General features: G+C 45.8%; 1 protein-coding gene and 1 long non-coding RNA gene across 2 annotated transcripts in view, besides 1 other annotated feature; both read right to left on the bottom strand.

Annotated features, from left to right (window-relative positions):
- The window catches only part of VIPR1 (vasoactive intestinal peptide receptor 1), a 48,270-nt gene extending 43,834 nt beyond the window's left edge, over nt 1–4,436 (bottom strand). The window contains exon 1 of the mRNA NM_001251882.2: nt 4,057–4,436. The gene's annotated coding sequence lies outside the window, so the exon portion shown is untranslated. The remainder of the gene's footprint in view (nt 1–4,056) is intronic.
- Nucleotides 2,426–3,269, bottom strand: LOC124909372 (uncharacterized). Its single transcript, XR_007095894.1, has 2 exons — nt 3,170–3,269; nt 2,426–2,672 (listed from the first exon to the last, which is right to left on the bottom strand). It is a non-coding gene; the product is annotated as an uncharacterized LOC124909372 (long non-coding RNA).
- Nucleotides 3,333–3,592: an enhancer, noted in NCBI's record as "active region_19745". NCBI's record gives its function as "activates an Ori minimal core promoter by ATAC-STARR-seq in GM12878 lymphoblastoid cells {active_cell/tissue: GM12878}" and the evidence as "EXISTENCE:reporter gene assay evidence [ECO:0000049][PMID:35858748]".

The raw sequence follows: 18,525 nt of genomic DNA, 5'->3' as shown, positions 1-18,525 counted from the left end.
GGTGGGAGTATCTATTTAACTTTCTTTTGACCCATCAGCCAGACCTGGGTTCTGACCTGGGGCCTTTGCAACAGCCACTGTGTCATTCCCCTGACTGAAGGATGGGTTCTAGGACTGGGGCCAAGCTTGTGGCTTGAAGACCAGGCAGAGAGAGCAAGAGATCTGAGTTAGGTTGGGGAAGCCCAGCTCTAATCCCTCCTCTGTCCCCCACTGCAGCCACAGGTATCCAGCATAAAGGCCTCTAGGGACCCTAGGCCCAACTGTGCCCACAGGCAAGCAGCCATGCTCACTAAATGCTTCTTCTTATCATCTTTATTACTTTGATGATTACCAGAGTGCCAGCCCCATGCTCGGCCGTGGGAGTGTGTGTCTACTCTCCCTGGGGAGACAAGGCTATTTTAGGGTCCCAAGGCCCTCTCGAGAGTGGCTGCCCTCTCCCTGATGGCTGCCCACAGTGGCAAGGTAGGCTGGTGCCCTGCCACTGGACAGGGACCGTGGCCTGCAATCTGGGGTCTGCAGCAGATAGCCTCGGGTCTCACTGGAGCCAGAAGCCACCCGTCTCCCTCCTAGCCTTTCCTTTATTTGGATGGAATCTCAGTCCATTGACTCAGGTTCAGGAAATATGGCTTGTCTTTATTTTCTAGAATTCAAGTTAATTTTGGCTTTATACTCTCATTACACCGGATTGGCAAAAAATAGAACTTCAGCCTTTCTTGGGTTCCTGCGTGGTTTGTTCTGGGAAAATGTTAGAGATCTCCTTCCTTCTCGCCCTCCATTGGTTGCTGGTTCTGCCAAGACCCACAGTAGCCCAGCCTGCATGGTCCTGGCAAGTTCAGGGTCTGGGGCTTTGGGGACTGAGGGTTTGGTGGGGCTGGGGCCTGGTGTCCAGGGCGCAGCCTCCTGTGTACCCTGCAGTCCCCTTCCTGAGGTGGGAGGTGGGGAGCAGGTAGTGAGTCTAGTGCTGCTCAAGGGAGACAGTTTGGAGGAATCCCAGGGAAGTCCTTCCCTTCTCCTCCTGGGTCCCCAGGCTTGGCACTTGAAAACAAATGCCTGGACAGGAAGTGTCTTAGGGTCACTTCTGCTTTTCTTCCAGCCTCCACCCTCCTCTGCAGTGAGGGGAATCATTTCCGGGAGAAGAACAACAAAGACCATCTCATGCTGTCAATGCCAGGTTGGGTCCCTAACGCTTTCCCCAGGTCCTCACCTCCATTCCCTTCCAAGCTGGGCCAGGACAACCTCAGGCTGTGGTGGTGCTTCCTCTGTGGAGGGAGGAGAGGCCCCAGGAGCACTCTCTTTTCTCCTTTTGAGGAAACTTGGTGAAGGCAGCACTCAGCAAGGAGAGCAGGCCTGGGAAGCTGGGGGTGGTGGTGACCAGGGGAACCAAACTGGAGCTGCCTGGCAACCTAGCTGCAGAGAAAAACCAGCTGGGTAGGACCACCTGCGCAGGGCTGGGAAGGAGGCCAGGAAGATGTTTGCTGAAGATAGAGAGGCAGGAGGAAGAGAAAAGAGGAAGGAGAGATAGGGGAGGAGGGATGAGGAAGGAAGGAAGGATGAGGAGGGTGGGCAGAGGATGGAAAGTTGGGAGAGAAGAAAAAAATGAGAGGGGAGGAGGGAGTTGGGAGGGAAGAGGAAGCCAAATGCTGGAGCCAGGGGAGGAAGGGGAAGTCTTTTCTTGCAAGCGCATCCCTGACTGCTTTCTCTCACCCTTTGCTTGCAGTCTCAGGTCATCTTTAACTTATCCCTCACCTGCTCACCTGTTCACCTGTTCACCACAATTGCTTCCTCAGAATCTCTGGAACCCCATTCTCCAATCTCAGTATCCGGATTGAGTAGTATTATTGTTTGTTAAGAAGAGCTTCAGGCCAGGTGCGGTGGCTCACACCTATAATCCTAGCACTTTGGGAAGTCAATGTCAGTGGATCACTTGAGGTCAGGAGTTCGAGACCAGCCTGGCCAACATGGCGAAAGCCCAGCTCTACTAAAAATACTAAAATTAGCCAGGTGTAGTGGTGCACGCCTGTAGCCCCAGCTACTTGGGAGGCTGAAGCAGGAGAATCACTTGAACCCAGGAGGTAGAGGTTTCAGTGAGCTGAGATCACCCCACTACACTCCAGCCTGGGTGACACAGTGAGACTCCATGTCAAACAAACAAAAAACAAACAAACAAACAAAAAATAAAGAAAGAAAGCTTCAAAATACATGAAGTGAATAAAGTATTATAATGATCTTCCATGCACCCATCACTTAATTTATTTCCTCTGTCCCTCTACCTCAACCATGATCATTTTGAATCCAATTACAGATCTACCATTTTATCTGTAAATATTTGAGTGTGTACATCTAAAGGATAAGGACTCTAAAAAATAACCACAATACCATTATACACAACACAATTTTCACACTAAGAAATACCAAAATTCCTTAATAGCATTCAATATCCAATCATTATTTAATTTTCATTCCTTGCCTTGTAAGTGCTTTGATTGATAATTTATTTATTTTTACCAGTTGTTTGCTTAAATACAGAGATTCACACATTCAAATTTCATACAGAGACTCCCCTCAATCTCTCTGCCTGTGCTTCTCTTTTCCTTGCAGGCTCTCTTTTGAAGAAACTGGGTTGTGGGTTCTGCGCACGGGCATCCTCCTGTCAAAGTTTGCTGCTTGTGCCCCTGTGGTGTTATTTAACACATTTCTCTCAGACTGACTATTGTGGAACACATTTTAAAACATCAGCGAGATCCTGTGGCTCCTTAGTTCCGAGCGCTTACCAGGCCCTGAGTGATGCCTCCATCACAATCCTTCACCTCTCTTCTGGTCTTCTGCTCTCCCTGAAGGCATACCAGCCTCCCTGCTATTTTAAAAATTTATTCCTAGACCCCTGCTGCTTTTCAGTCTGTACTGGCAGCTCCCTCTACTTGGAATGCTCTTCCCCGGTATTCCCATGGCTCCCCACCTCTCTTCTCAATGCCAGTCCCCCTCCTTAATACTGCAAACTGCTCCCTTCCCCCCAACTCCTAAACCTCTTTACTCTCTACTCTTCTTCATAACACTTATCACCTTCCAAGGTATTGTGTCTCTAGGGTACCTGGAGGCAGTTCTTACATCTGCCCTTTCTCTACCCACCCATTCCTCCCCTCTGGCTCCCAACCCAGTGGGTACTGCTTACTTGGTAAGGGACTTCCAGGCCAGGTGCCAAGGAAGGGGAGGAACTGGCCAGACCAGCTCATGCCTCTGTTTGCACAGGTCTGGGTAAAAATAGCCTCAGCTATGCACGCCTCTCTCGCCTCCTCTTTATTCTAGATCCTGCCCAGGCCTGAGTCACTTGCCAGCTGTGCTTGCCCCTAGGCCTATTCTTGCCTGAGATGGGATAAGGCCCAGAGGAATAAGGATAGGGACCCTGACAGCATTAGCAGCTCTGCTGCAGCTCGTGTGAACCTTGACGCCTGCTGCCACTCTGGGAAGCCACCCTGAATTGACCGCTGGCTTCTTTTGCTTTGTGGTGACCCTAACTTTCAGATTATTTAACCCCTTCTTTGGGGGTAGGCCTGTCTGTCCTCTGTCTTGCATGGGGAGGAATTGGGGTGGGGAAGGAGCAAGGAGGAAGCTGAACTCCTGCCCTGGGAGCTCCCAGGCTAAGTAGGGAGACCAGAGTCTCTTGTAGGAATGAGGTAGGGTGTGAGTGGAGACTGCAGGCAGAGCTTAGCCTCTCTGGGTGGTGCAGATCAGAGGAAGGGCTTCGCGGGAACTGTGCTCTGAAGAAATGGAGGGTCGGAGGAGAGGTCTTGGACTGGTGGTGGAAGAATGAGTGTGTGTGTGTAACCTATGGTGGGAGAGTGGAGAGAAGGTAGAAAGCAGAAGGCTTGCTGGAGCTAAGACCACATTTGAGGGTAACTGGCCACCAGCGGAGGGCCATACTGCGGAGTAAGAAAGTACAGAACTGTGCGTAACAAAGAAATGTCTTACTCCTGGTCTGGAGGAGTGCCAATGCATGGGGAAGCCTGGGGATGAGGAGCCCTTAGTCTGAGGCCAGACTAGGGCTGGGTCTTACCCTACCGTCCACACGGTGGGGCTGGATGTTCTGCCATAGCCAAGCTGCTCTAGCCTGGCACATGCCAGCCACTCAGCTGAGGGAGTCACTTCCTTATCCTCCTGGTGTCAGTGTGAAGACGCACCACACAGAGTTCATCCATCATCCAGTGCCCTTCTGATTGGGGGGAAGCCACAGCTCCTTTACTCTTGACCCACGTAGTTCAGTGATTGGGTAGGGCTTATACTCCGCTCTGGCTCCAGTAGTGAGCACCTGCCCCAGGCCTGGCCAATGGGAGTCTTGCCAATGGTCACATGCCCCAACCTGGGCCAATGAGCATCAGCCCTGGGGCTTTTGCTGGAACTGTGGGAAAGAAGCTGCTTTTCCACTAGTAAGCTGGGAAAATGCAAGCTTGCTGCTGCTGTGGCATATTTACCTGCTTGAGATTTGAGCAAACACAAGGAAATCAGATCCAAGCGATAGAGATAGACAGATTTCTGATGACATTGTTTGAGTTCCTGAATCCAGTTGCACCGGAAGCCCTGTGAACTTTTCTGTTTCTGTTATATAAATCTCTTCTTTGCTTAGGCCAGTATACGTTGGCTTCATGTTAAGTGAAACAGAAAGAGTTTTAATACTGCAAGTTCCAACTCCAACTCCCCAGTCCTCAAGTTGTTCAGGGACAGCAGAATGGAAGAGGCCATCTTGGGAAGGAATGGGAATGTACGTGTGGTTCGTTTTAGCCCAGGACAGAAAGAAGCACTTCTTTTGAATCTTTGTGTTGGCCTCCGCTCCTGGGCAGTCTCTCCTGGACCTGGTGCCCTTTCTTTTTCCTTAGAGAGATGTTCTGCTCTGTCTCCATAGAGTGAGTAGAGCCAGTGTGGTTCCTCCAGACCTCCCCCTCAGTCCTGCCAGGATGTGCTGCTCCTTCACAGTAAGGGCTTCCTGCATCCCCTTCCACCCAACCCCACCTGCTTTCCATCTGGAAGAAACACTCAGTGTCTGTGTGCGAAAGGAAGACAGTCTTTACAATCTTGATGACAGTGTTGATCTCAATTTATTTCTTTATTCTGGGGATTCATTTCCATGTGAAATCAGTCAGGACAGCACATGTCGAGAGGAAGTTTTAGATGCTGAATTTGTGAGGATATAGCTTCAGCTACGTGGGCTAGAGATGGGAAGAACAGCGGCTTAAATAAGACAGGGATTTATTTTTTTGCATAGAGAAGCCAGAGTTGGTGTGGAGGCTCTTGCTGTGACATGAAAGGCCCAGAGTTCTTCGGTCTTTCTACTCCACTATCCTTTGGATGTTGTCTGTATCAGTTATTGTACTGGTTTGCTCTGGCTGCCGTAGCCAAGTACCATAAGTTTGGGGGATTAAACAACAGAAACTTATTTTCTTGTAGTTCTGGAGGCCAGAAAGCCCAAGGATAGGGTGTTAGTAGGGTTGGTTTCTAAGGACTAGGAGAATCCCATGCCTCTCATCCAGCTTCTGGTAGTTGCTGGCAATCTTTGGCACTCCTTGGCTCGAAGAAGCATCATCCCAATCTCTGCTTTCATTTTCACGTTGGCATTCTCCCTGTGTGTCTCCAAATTTCCCCTTTTTATAAGGACATCAGTCATACTGGTCTAGGGCCCACTCTAATAAGTTTATTTTAACTGGATTACCTCTGTAAAGACATTTACTTCAAATAATGCTACATTTTGAGGTACTAGGGGTTAGGACTTCAACATGTAAATTTTTGACAGGAGAGCCACAATTCAACCCATAGCAGTTATTTAGTATTATATAAGAAATTGACCTAAAACTTAGTGGCTTTAATAAATTATTTATTATGTCTTATGGTTTCTGTCGATCAGGAATTTGTAAGAAACTTGGTTGGACAGGTTTGGCTTGAGACCTGTCATGAGTTTGCAGTCAGATGTCAGCTAGGGCTGTAGTCATCTAAAGGTTTATTTGGGGTACTATCTATTCCCAACCATTTTCTCTCTCACGTGGCTATTGGAAGGAGGCCTTGGTTCCTCCTCCATGTAGACCTTTCCACAGGGCTACTTGAGTGTCCTTATGTCATGGCGGCTGGTTCTCCTGAGTGACAGACCCCAGGGACTGAAATGGAAGATAGAGTGCCTTTTATGACTATCTGTGAGAGTCATACACTGTCACTTCTGCCGTATTCTATTGATCACAGAGGCCATTCTTGGTTGAATGTGGGAGGAGGCTACACAAGGGAGTGAATATCAGGAGGTAAAGACCTTTGTCCACATGGCCACTGCTGCTTCTGCTTTCCAGGCAGTGAAGAGAGGCAAAGGGGAAGAAGATGGCATGCCCCTTCCTAGCAACTGAGTGATTTGGAAGTTGCACAGTCACCTCTTCTCACATCCCATTGGCCAAAACTTAATCACATGGCCACCCATGGCTAAAATACACAGCTGAGCAATATAGCCTTTATAAGAGGCAGTCATGTGTCCAGCTTAAAAACTCTATTACTATATCTCAGTTTGGGTCTCCCTAGAAGCAGAACCTGGAGCAAAGTACTTGGGTCCAGGTAGTTTATTTGGGAGGTGACCCTAGCAGGCTGCAGGAAGGGAGCAGGGAGTGTGCCATCAAGCTCTCTGCTTCAGAAGATGGGGGCCCAACTCAGCGAGAACCTCAGAAGCCTCCCAGAGTGAGTGGGAAGCTGGGCCATTTATCTGTGGGTCCCACTCTGGGGAATTAACTCCCCTGCACTTCCTGGCTGCATCTCCCACTCATCCCCCAGCTGACTCTGTGACTTTTAAAAATAGCCCTGAGACAGGCAAAAGGAGAGACCTATGACTGTTGAGGTGGGATGTTGAGGGCTGGTATAGAGCTGGCCCCTGCAGCTGCAGCTGTTATCAGAGGAGGGGCCCCAAATATCTGCTACACTCTGGAAGAAGCAGAGGTCAGACAGGAACCAACCTAGCATCTCTCATATAGTTTGCCAGTTTTGCCTGCCCTGCTCCCTACTCAAAGTTTCTGAGGACAGGGGTCCAGGTTGTGCAGCTTAAAGACCTCCTGTCAGCCACTGACTCCCCAGGGCAGGTGCTGTGGACTCACTTCAGTTCGTGCCTGGGAGTTCACTTCTCGGCTCTGCCATACCAGCCTTCAGTGACAGCCCAACATGGTCCATCTCCAGGAAAGTCCTGGAATGTGGACTCTATCACTCCCGGACCCCCTACTGGGAAATTGAGGGCTGCCCTGTCAGTCCTTGGCCACCACCCAAAATCCCAATTCAAGGGGCTAAGTCTAGTGCCTGTCAGGCTCTTGTTTCTATTCCACCCTGCCAGGAACCCTCACCTGCTAAGCTCCTTGCTGGGCACAGTGGAAAAGTTCAGAATCCATAAGTACAAGTTAAAACAATAAGTAGAAAGAAGATAAGATGGAGTAAAGTCCTTTTCTGGGCAGTCTGGCTGCCAGCCCCTGCCCTAGAACATTGGTTTCTAAGATTTTCTGGCCCATCTCTGCAAGGATTGAATGAGGACCCCTCCCAACTGGAGGCCATCACTTCCCTCTTTCATGGGGGTCTGTCCACAGCAGGGGTTTGAACCTTTTTACTGCCATGGACCTTCTTTTGAAGCCTATGGACCCTCATTAGGACAATGTTTTAGTTATTTATTTTTTTCAATAGTTTTGGGGAATAGGTGGTTTTTTGTTACATGGATAAGTTTTTTAGTGGTAATTTCTGAGATTTTGGTGCATCTGTCTCCTGAACAGGTGTCTTTTTCATGTAATGACTTTTTTTTTCCTTTGGGTAGATACCCAGTAGTGGAATTGCTGGATCAAATGGGAGTTCTACTTTTAGTTCTTTAAGGAATCTTCTTACTGTTTTCCATAGTAGTTGTAGTAGTTTACATTCCCTCCAACAGGGTAAAAGTGTTCCCTTTTCACCACATCCACTCCAACATCTATTTTTTTTTTTATTTTTTAATTACAGTTATTCTTGAAGGAGTAAGGTGGTATCGTATTGTGATTTTGATTTGCATTTCCCTGATAATTAGTGATGTTGAGCATTTTTTCCATATGTTTGTTGGCCATTTGTATATCTTCTTTTGAGAGTTGTCTATACATGTCCTTTGCCCATTTTTTGTTGGGATTATTTGTTTATTTCTTGCTGATTTGTTTTGGTTCTTTGTAGATTCTGGATATTAGTCCCTTGTTGGATGCATAGTTTGTGAATATTTTCTCCCACTCTGTGGGTTGTCTGTTTACACAGCTGATTATTTCTTTTGTTGTGCAGAAGCTTTTCGGTTTAATTAAGTTCCATCTATTTGTTTTTGTTTTTGTTGCATTTGCTTTTAGGTTCTTGGTCATGAACTCTTTGCCTAAGCCAACGTTTAAAAGAGTTTTTCCAATGTTATCTTCTAGAATTTGTAGGTTTCAGGTCTAAGATTTAAGACTTTGATCCATCTTGAGTTGATTTGCATATAATGTGAGAGATGAGGATCCAGTTTCATTCTTCTACATGTGGCTTGTCAGTTATCTCAGCACCATTTGTTGAATAGGGTGTCCTTTCTCCACTTTATGTTTCATTGCTTTGTTGAAGATCAGTTGGCTGTCAGTATTTGGCTTTATTTCTGGGTTCTCTATTCTGTTGCATTGGTCTACATGCCTATATTTATACCAGTATTTTATGCCATTTCGATAACTATAGCCTTGTAGTTTAGTTTGAAGTTGGGTAATATGATGCCTCCAAATTTGGTCTTTTTGCTTAGTTTTGCTTTGGCTATGTGGGGTTTTTCTTGGTTCCATATGGACTTTAGGATTGCTTTTTTCTAGTTCTATGAAGAATAATGATGGTACTTTGATGGGAATTGCACTGAATCTGTAAATTGCTTTTGGCAGTGTGGTCATTTTCACAATATTGATTCTACCCATCCATGAGCATTAGTTATATTTCCAATTAGTTTGTGTCATTGGTGATTTCTTTCAGCAGTATTTTGTGGTTTTCCTTGTAGAGATCTTTCACCTCCTTGGTCAGGTATATTCTTAAGTATTTTATTTTTATTTTTATTTTTATTTTTGCAGCTGTCATAAAAGGGATTGAGTTCTTGATTTGCTTCTCAACTTGGTCGTTGTTGGTGTAGAGCAGTGCTATTGATTTGTGCACATCAATTTTGTATCCCAAAACTTTACTAAATTCATTTATCAGATCTAGGAGCTTTTTGAATTGGTTTTTAGGGTTTTCTAGGTATATGATCATATCATTGGTGAATAGTGACAGTTTAACTTCCTCTTTATTGTTTTGAATAAACAATAAAGCCTTTTATTTCTTTCTCTTGTCTGATTGCTCTGGCTATGACTTCTGATACTATGTTAAATAGAAGTGGTGAAAGTGGGCATTCTTGTCTTGTTCCAATTCTCAGAGGGAATGCTTTCAACTTTTCTCTGTTCAGTATAATGTTGACTGTGGGTTTGTCAGAGATGGCTTTTATTACCTTGAAGTTTGGCCCTTCTATGCCAGTTTTGCTGAGGGTTTTAATCATAAAGGGATGCTGAATTTTGTCAAATGCTTTTTCTGCATCTATTGAGATAATCATATGATTTTGCTTTAAATTCTGTTTATGTGGTGTATCACATTTATTGGCTTGCATATGTTAAATCATCTCTGTGTCCGTGGTGTGAAACCCACTCAATCATGGTGGGTTATCTTTTTGCGATGCTGTTGGATTCAGTTAGCTAGTATTTTGCTAAGAATTTTTGCATCTAAGTTAATCAGGGATATTTGTCTGTAGTTTTCTTTTTTTGCTATGTCTTTTCCTGGTTTTAGTATTAGGTGATACTGGCTTCACAGACTGATTTAGGGAGGATTCCCTCTTTCTCTGTCTTTTGGAATAGTTTCAGTAACATTGGTACCAATTCTTCTTTGAATGTCTGATAGAATTCAGCTGTGAGTCCATGTGGTCCTGGATTTTATTTTGGTAGCAATTTTTAAAATTACTGTTTCAATCTTGCTACTTGTTATTGGTCTATTCAGAGTTTCTATTTCTTCCTCATTTAATCTAGGAGGGTTGTATGTTTCCAGGAATTTATCCATCTCCTCTAGATTTTCTAGTTTGTGTGCATAAAGGTGTTCATTGTAGGCTTGAATGATCTTTCATATTTCTGTGGTATCTGTTGAAATATCTCCTATTTCATATCTAATTGAGCTTATTTGGATCTTCTCTCTTCTTTTCTTGGCTAATCTCACTAACGGTCCATCAATTTTGTTTATCTTTTCAAAGAACCAGCTTTTTGTTTCATTTATCTTTTGGGTTTTTTTGTTTGTTTCAATTTCGTTTAGTTCTTCTCTGATCTTTGTTATTTCTTTTCTTCGGCTGATTGGGTTGGTTTGTTCTTGTTTCTCTAGTTCCTTGAGTTGTGACCTTAGATTGTCTATTTGCACTCTTTCAGTCTTTTTGATGTAGGCGTTTAATGCTATAAACGTTCCTGTCAGCATCGCTTTTGCTGTATCCCAGAGTTTTTTTTTTTTTTTTGAGATGGAGTTTTGCTCTGCTGCCCAGGCTGGAATGCAGTGGCACAATCTTGGCTCACTGCAACCTCTGTCTCCCAGGTTCAAGTGATTCTCCTGCCTCAGCCCCCTGAGTAGCTGTGATTACAGGTGCACATCACTACGCCTTGTTAATTTTTGTATTTTTAGTAGAGACGGGGTTTCGTCATGTTGGCCAGGCTGGTCTTGAACTCCTGACCTCAAGTGATTTGCCTGCCTTGGCCTCCCAAAGTGTTGGAATCACAGGTGTGAGCCACCCCACCCAGCCTCAGAGGTTTTCATAAGTTGTGTCACTATTATTGTTCAGCACAAAGAATTTTTAAATTTTCATTGTGATTTCATTGTTAACCTAAAGATCATTCAAGAGCAGATCATTTAATTTCCATGTATTTGAATAGTTTTGAGTATCCCCTTTGGAGTTAATTTATAGTTTTATTCCACTGTGATCTGAAAGGATACTTGATATAATTTTGATTTTCTTAAATTTATTGAGACTAGTTTTGTGACCTAACATATGGTCTATCTTGGATAATGTACCATGTGCTGAAGAAAAGAATGTATATTCTGCAGTTGTTGGGTAGAATGTTCTGTAAATATTCATTAAGTCCATTTGTTCTAGGGTATAGTTTAATTCCGTTGTTTCTTTGTTATCTTTCTGTCTTTATGACCTGTATATTGCTGTCAGTGGAGTATTGAAATCTCCCACTATTATTGCGTTGCAGTCTATCTCATTTCTTAGGTCTAGTAGTAATCGTTTTATAAATTTGGAAACTCCAGTGTTAGGTGCATAAATATTTAGGATTGTGATATTTTCCTATTGGACTAATCCTTTTATTATTATATAATGTCCATCTTTGTCTTTCTGTTTTACTGTTGATGTTTTAAAGTCTGTTTTGTCTGATATAAGAATAGCTACTCCTGCTCATTTTTGTTTCCATTTGCATGGAATATCTTTTTTCACCCCCTTACCTTAAGTTTATGTGAGTCCTTATGTGTTAGATGAGTCTCTTGAAGACAGCAGACACTTGGTTGGTGGATTTTTATTCATTCTGCCATTCTGTATCTTCTAAGAGGAGTATTTAGGCCATTTACATTCAACGTTAGTATTGAGATGTGAGGTACTGTTCTATTCATCATGTTTGTTGTTGCCTTAATACCTTGTTTTTTGGTGTGTTATTGTTTTATAGGACCTGTGAGATTTATGCTTTAAGGAGATTCTATTTTGGTGCATTTCAAGGTTTTGTTTCAAGATTTAGAACTCCTTTTAGCATTTCTTGCAGGGCTGGCTTATTAGTGGTGAATTCTCTCAGTGTTTGTTTGTCTGAAAAAGACTCAGTTTTGCTGGATACAAAATTCTTGGCTGACAATTATTTTTGTTTTTCAGGAGGCCAAAAATGAGTCCCCAATCCCTTCTGGCTTGTAAAGTTTCTGCTGAGAAACCCACTGTTAACCTTGATAGGTTTTCCTTTACAGGTTTTCTGATGCTTTTGTCTCACAGCTCTTAAGATTCTTTCCTTCGTCTTGACTTTAGATAATGTGATGACTATGTGCCTAGGTGATGATCTTTTTTTGCAATGAATTTCCCAGGTGTTCTTTGAGCGTCTTGTATTTTTAAAAATTCTTTTTTCTTTGTCCGTGTTGGATTGGGTTAATTTGAAAGCCTTGTCTTCAAGCTCCGAAGTTCTTTCTTCTACTTGTTCTAATTTATTGTTGAAACTTGCCACGGTATTTTGTATTTTTCTAAGTGTGTCTTTCATTTCCAGAAGTTGTGATTTTTTTAATGATATCTATTACTCTGGGGATTTTTTTATCCATATCCTGTATTTTTTAAAAATTTCTTTAAATTGGTTTTCACCTTTCTCTGTTATCTCCTTGAGTAGCTTAATAAACAACCTTCTGAATTCTTTATCTGGCAATTCAGAGCTTTCTTCTTGGTTTGGGTCCATTGCTGGGGAGCACGTGTGATCTTTTGGGAGTGTTATAGAACCCTGTTTTGTCATATTACCAGAATGACTTTTCTGGGTCCTTCTCATTTGGGTGGACTATTTCAGTGGAGAGGTCTGAAACTCAAGGCCTGCTGTTCAGATTCTCTTGTCTCATGGGGTGATCTCTTGATGTGGTGCTCTCCCTCTTCCCTGGAGATGAGGCTTCCTGAGAGCCAGACTGAAGTGATTGTTACTGCTCTTCTGGGTCTAGCCACCCTGTGGGCTACCAGGCTCCAGGCTTGTGCTGCAGTATGTCTGCAAAGAGTCCTGTGATGTAATCTGTCTTCAGGTCTCCTAACCATGGATACCAGCACCTGCTCTTGTAGAGGTGGCAGGGAAATGAAGTAGACTCTGTGAGAGTCTTTTGTTATAGATATGTTTAGTGTGCTGCCTTTCTTGAATGCTGATTATGCTAGCAGTGAAGTTGTCACATGGACAAACTCAGGATTTCTGGTTAGCCAGGATGTTGCAGGCAGTGGAATTAGGTGTTTTTTCTCCTTCCTGGGATCAGGTTTGTTCTGTCATGGGTTGCTGTAATGGCCTGAATTGGTTGACCTCCAGCCAGGAGGTGGCACTTTCAAGAGAGCACCAGCTGTGGTAGTAGTAGGGGGATCTAAGCTTGCCCTAAATTGGCCAAGGTAAGTATTTCAATTTCTCAGGTGATTGGTGGGCCCATAAAGCTCCCAAGAGTTTCTGTCTTTTGTGTTTGGCTACCAGGGTGGGTAGAGAAATACCATCAGGTGGGGGCAGGATCAGGCACGTCTGGGCTCAGACTCTTCTTGGGCAGCACTTGCTGTGGCTACTGGGGGGGATAAGGGGTGTTTCTCAGGCCTATGGGGCTATGTTCCAGAGGGGATCTTGGCTACCTCTGCTGTGTCATATAGTTTGCCAGGGAAGTGGGAGATAGCTGGTAGCAAGAGGCCTCACCCAGCTCCCATGCAGCTGGCGAGGCCTTTCTCACTCTTGCAATATTCCCACTCAGAACTTGCCCCGGGCTGTGAGCCACCCTGCTGAGAAAGCAGGCTTTCAGACCTCACCCCTCCTCATCTGCCCACTCCATAGCCAGCTCCCATGCTCCTACACTCAAACCTGCAGCAGCTCCTGCTTGTCCCCTGGACTCTGCTTAAGAAAATTTGTGCCCAGTTGAAACCACTACTAATTTCAATTGGGAGTTTTCTTCACCCTGCAATCCCTCCCCAATTCTGCTGGCTGCCTTCCCCAAGGGCCCCTGTGAGAAATAGTCAGAGATGGCTTCCCTGGGCTCAAGCTGGAGACTGGGAGTGCCTAGAAGGCCCATCCCACTGCTACCTCTACTTTTTATATTTCACGCAACTTCCTAATTCTGTTTCAGCTCTAGGCAAGGCTAAATCTTCCTCTCATGATCTGGATTTTCAGATTCTCCAGTGGGGATGTATGTTCAGAGGCAGATATCCCCCCCAACATACTTTGGGGCCTCAGTTTTTTGCCTGTTTCACAGAATTTGCAGCAGCATGCCACTTCTTTCAAAGAATCTGTGAATTATTTTGGTTTTCCTTGCACATTCCTGCAGTAGTTCTTGGAGCAAAAGATCATGGTGTTCTGTCTGTCCATGTGGGAGCTGCACGTTAGCCCTGTCTCCTATCTACCATCTTCTCCAGATAATGTTTTAAAATGCACAAGAAACAAAACATATAATTACATAGGAAATCAATTGAAATACAGTTATCAAAATATTAAAAACATATTTTGGCCGCAGTAATCCATGTGTTTCTTTATTAATGTATCAAATAACAAGATCTAGTGGCAGGCTGAGTAACCCCAGTGATTTTAAAGTAGTGATGAGAATAAATGACATTTTGAGACATCTCCACTAATGGTAACTTGAGATTAAAGTAGCTGGGATTTCTGTTGGTGATAAAGTCACAGCTCCTGCTGATACCACTGTGCTATTTGTCTACTTTCATCATGGAAGAGAATGCTAACCTTCAGTTAAAATGGAATAAAGTAGCCATTTTTTACCACCCAAGTATTTGGACTCCATAAATTTCTATTCATGCATTTCTTGGATGTCACTCGACCCAGGGCTAAGATTATCTGTTCTATGGGAAGCCTTAACTCAGATCTGTTGCCTTCTCAGGCCTCATGGCCCCAGCTGGACACTCTCCCTGCCTGGCTGGTTTTGATTGAGCCAACAAGGGCAGGGGCCCTGCCAGCATATGTGGCCTATGCAGATGTTCTGCATCCAGACCTTGGGAACAGGAGGGTAACTCCAGCCTCAAGTCATGGCCACCGTGGCTTCCAGGTGAGGCTGGGGTAGAAGTGGAAAGGAGGGTTGGGACTGGAAGGTATTGGCCATCTCCTGAGGAGGGACTGGGGAACACTCTCTCAACTCTGCCCTCAAAAGAGTCATTTCTACAGATGGATGGAGAGGGCTAGCCCCTGACTGCTTCCTGGCAGAGCCTGGCCCTGGATAGCTTGGGCTTGGTGCTGGGGAAACTATGAGCCCCACGAGATCCCAAAGAGAGTGAGAAATGTGGAAGATACCTCACTGAACTCTAGAGCTCTTCCCATGCATTAGGGGTGGGGGCTTCCAGGAAGGGGGTCCTGGAACTAGTGCTTTGTCTCCAGTGCTTACTCTGCAGCATCCTAAGTGGTCCTAGACAACCAGGTATGAACCACGAAGAGGGAAAGAGGAAGGAATGCTAGTTCAGCAGCTACTGCTGTATCCTTAAACTCAGGTGTGTAAGAAACTGTTTCATGTTCCGTAACCCAAATTATTTCTGATTCTGGGCTCCCGCTCTACTACGATGACAGAAAATTAAATCCCAATGATTTTCTAGACTTATTGCCTTTCTGGGGGGTTGAGTCAAAGCTCTGGGGGCTGATGTAAGTCCAGCTATTAAGGGGTTTCCATAATGGTTCAGTCCTGGAGTTTCTTTGCTATTTTCCTGCTGTGCCTGTGGGATCAGAAAACTGAGGCTTCTGGCTATGCCTGGGGAGCCAGCTCTCCAGGAGACAGAGAAAGTCTCTTCTGGGCTACCCCACATGCCCATTTCCTCTTTGGGTTCTTACTGCCCCTGCTGAGGCTCTGTCTGGGGAGTGGGCCCAGGGAGCTTTGCTCTTGAGTTTCATGAAATTTTTCTGCTGTCAACATGTCCTGATCAGTTTTGAGACTTTCCTCAGAGACCTCTGGGATCATCTGTGATCCAGGGGGACTCATAGGTGTTCCTTGCCTCCTTTTGGATTCCTTTAGCAATAGACCCCAAGAGCAGAATTTGAGCACAGGCAATTTATTCGGGAGGTGATCCTAGGAAGCACTCAAGGGAAATGAGGAAGTGGGACAGAAGAGGGAAGGCAGCCAATGCAGGGTGGCTAAGGACCAGGTCACCCCCATGGGTGCCTGGAACTCCAGCTCTGGGAGGCTGCATGGAACACACCTCAGAGTCGTGCTATCCCCATCTGTAGGTCAAGGAAGCTGGGGCATCTCTCCATCAACTCCCATAGGTTGTGGGTCCTTTCATGTCCTGTGGCCAAAAAAGCCCTCAGATAGGGAATTGCAGGTGCCTGCAGTAAAAAGTTACAGGTGTCTTTTGCTAGGGGAGGTGAATGTGGAGGGGATACGGGCAGGGCGCCATCCACTCCACCCTCTCTTCCCCGGGTGATGTATCCAGGTCCACAGGTTGTTTGAGGGGAAGGAGAGAAAACCTCTGCTAACTTGTTAAAAATACCCTCCTGTGCACTGGCTTCTTTCAAGGCTGCTTTCCCCACCAGTAGTGCTCTCATGCCTGTTTTAGGGGGTCTCCTGGATGGAGCTCTGTAGGCTGGATGGGGAACAGTGCAAAGACGAACTGGACTGAGCCTCAGCCCTACATGACTCAGACAAGAAAGAAATAAGACTGCATTGAGATAGCACTTTTATGTGAGGCAAAATGTTGTCAGGGCCACCAGAGGGGAGCAAGACAGCTGGGGACCCTTAGAGGAGGAAGGCAACATCTCTGCTGGGATTCTGGAAAGTGTCAGGGAGATGCTGGCTTGTGAAAGTGTGGTGGGATTTGCAGGGTGGTGGAGGAGAGTGAGGGCATCCTGGCAGAAGGCACAGGAAAAGCAAAGGAGCTGCTGCTTGAGAGTCCAGGGAGGACAGGACTGCAAGGAGGGAGGCCTGGGCAGGACTAGGAGTGGAGCCTTCAAAAGGCAGGCAGGCTGGGCCTAGCTCCACCCTACTGAGCCCTCAGGCACTTCCTCCTGTGGAGGCCACCAGGAGAGCCGGTCCAGCTACTAATGCAGTCTTGGCTTTAGGGCAGTTCAACCCAGCAGTGCCAGCTGCCAGGCGCTCCAGTTAGAAGCCACCACCCTCATTAGCTGGCATGAGATCAGCTGCTTTGAGTCTCAGAGCTCCGGATGTCTTAGAGGTTTGTAAATCACCAGATTAAAAAACTAATTGCAGCATTTGCCCTAAGCCTGGCTCATTCCTGTCAATGACTGGTTTTGTTTCATTTCTGGTGGGGGGTGCGGAAACTGCAGAGAGGGGCTCAGTAGAATCCTGGGCAAACCTGAGCCTCAAGACGTGGTGGGTGTTCTGCCCTGGGAGAGCCAGGCTCTGACTTCCATGGTGGCTTCAGCTATGCCTACCTGGCCTCTGAGTGCCAGGCAATAACATTCACCCTCGAGTGCACTTTCCAGGAGCCTTTGAAGAAGGAGGGAAGAGCATTCGAGGACACCATTCAATTGGTTAGGGCCTGACTGGGGGGCACAGCTTCCCTCAGCCACACCACACCCTGGGAGGAGGAGGAACAGGCTATAGGGCTGCTGAGCAGAAGTGGGGAAGTGGCAAGGCTCAGAGGCCACTAGGTCACTTTAATCCAGCCCTGACCCCGAAGATGCTTACTGACCTAGGTGGCTTTTGGTCAGCATCTCAGCTCTGCCCTGTGGTCCTCTACTCCCTCCAGCCCATCCCCACATGACTCACTTTGGGTCTCCCTCCTGACTTCTCCATCCTCTGCAAACTCCCACAGCCTCCAAGTCTCCCCACAGCCTGGCTCCCTACCTTCCTTGCTGGCCTGCCAAAAAGGGCTTTCCAAAACACATATTGGCTGTGCCACTCTCCTATTCCCCACTTTCAAGGGCTCCCATTGGCTGAAGAACAAAATTTCTCAGACTGACATCCCAGCTCCCCTACTCTTGAAGGGTTATGGCAAAGTACTTCTGGTGTGACTTCTGGCTCTACTATTCATCAGCTGTGTGACCTTGGGCAAGGTGTTTAACTTCTCTGCACCTCAATTTCCTTGTCAGTAAAATGTGGATTTAGTCCCTAAATCCTGGTGAGGATTAAATGAGTTAGCACACGGAAAGCATTTAGCACAGTGCATGGCACATAGTAAGTGCTCAGTAAAATGTAGCTGTTATCTATTTCACACTACCCTGCCGCAACGGCTGCCTAATATTTTGACCACCCTTAGCTATCTCAATGACCTGAAGTTCTGTCAAGACTTCCCAGTACAGCTCTATATTAGCTATCTATTGTGTAGCAAATGACCCCAAACTTAGCAGCATAAAACAATGAATACTTATTATCTCACAGTTTTCGTGATCAGGAGTCTTAGCTGGGTTCTGTAATTCAGAACCCAGCTAAGTTCAGCTGGGTCCTGTAATTCAGAGTCTCACAAGGCTGCAATGCAGGAATCAGTCAAGGCTGTGGTTTTACCTGAGGCCCAGCTGGGGAAGGGTCTGCTTCCAAGCTCATGTAGTTGTTGACAGAATTGTTTCTTGCGGCTATAGGACCAAGGACCTCACTTTCTTGCTGGCTGCTGGAGGTCCTTGAAGGCTGTTAGCTGGAGGCTGCCCGTGGTTCTCGAGGCTGCCTGAGCTCCTTGACATGTGAGGTTCCCCAACATGGTTGCTTGCTTCGTCAAAGCCAGTAAGGGAGAGAGAAGCTCTAGTAACAGCGTTTCAGTATTGTGTAGATACTTCTGTCTCGCTGGGTTCAGACTCCTTTTGAAGTCCCAGCCTCTACAAGGTCAGGGCTGAG

The sequence above is a fragment of the Homo sapiens genome, chromosome 3, assembly GCF_000001405.40.
Source record: "Homo sapiens chromosome 3, GRCh38.p14 Primary Assembly".
Classification (NCBI taxonomy): Eukaryota; Metazoa; Chordata; class Mammalia; order Primates; family Hominidae; genus Homo; species Homo sapiens.
This window is presented reverse-complemented; position numbering and strand designations above follow the sequence as displayed.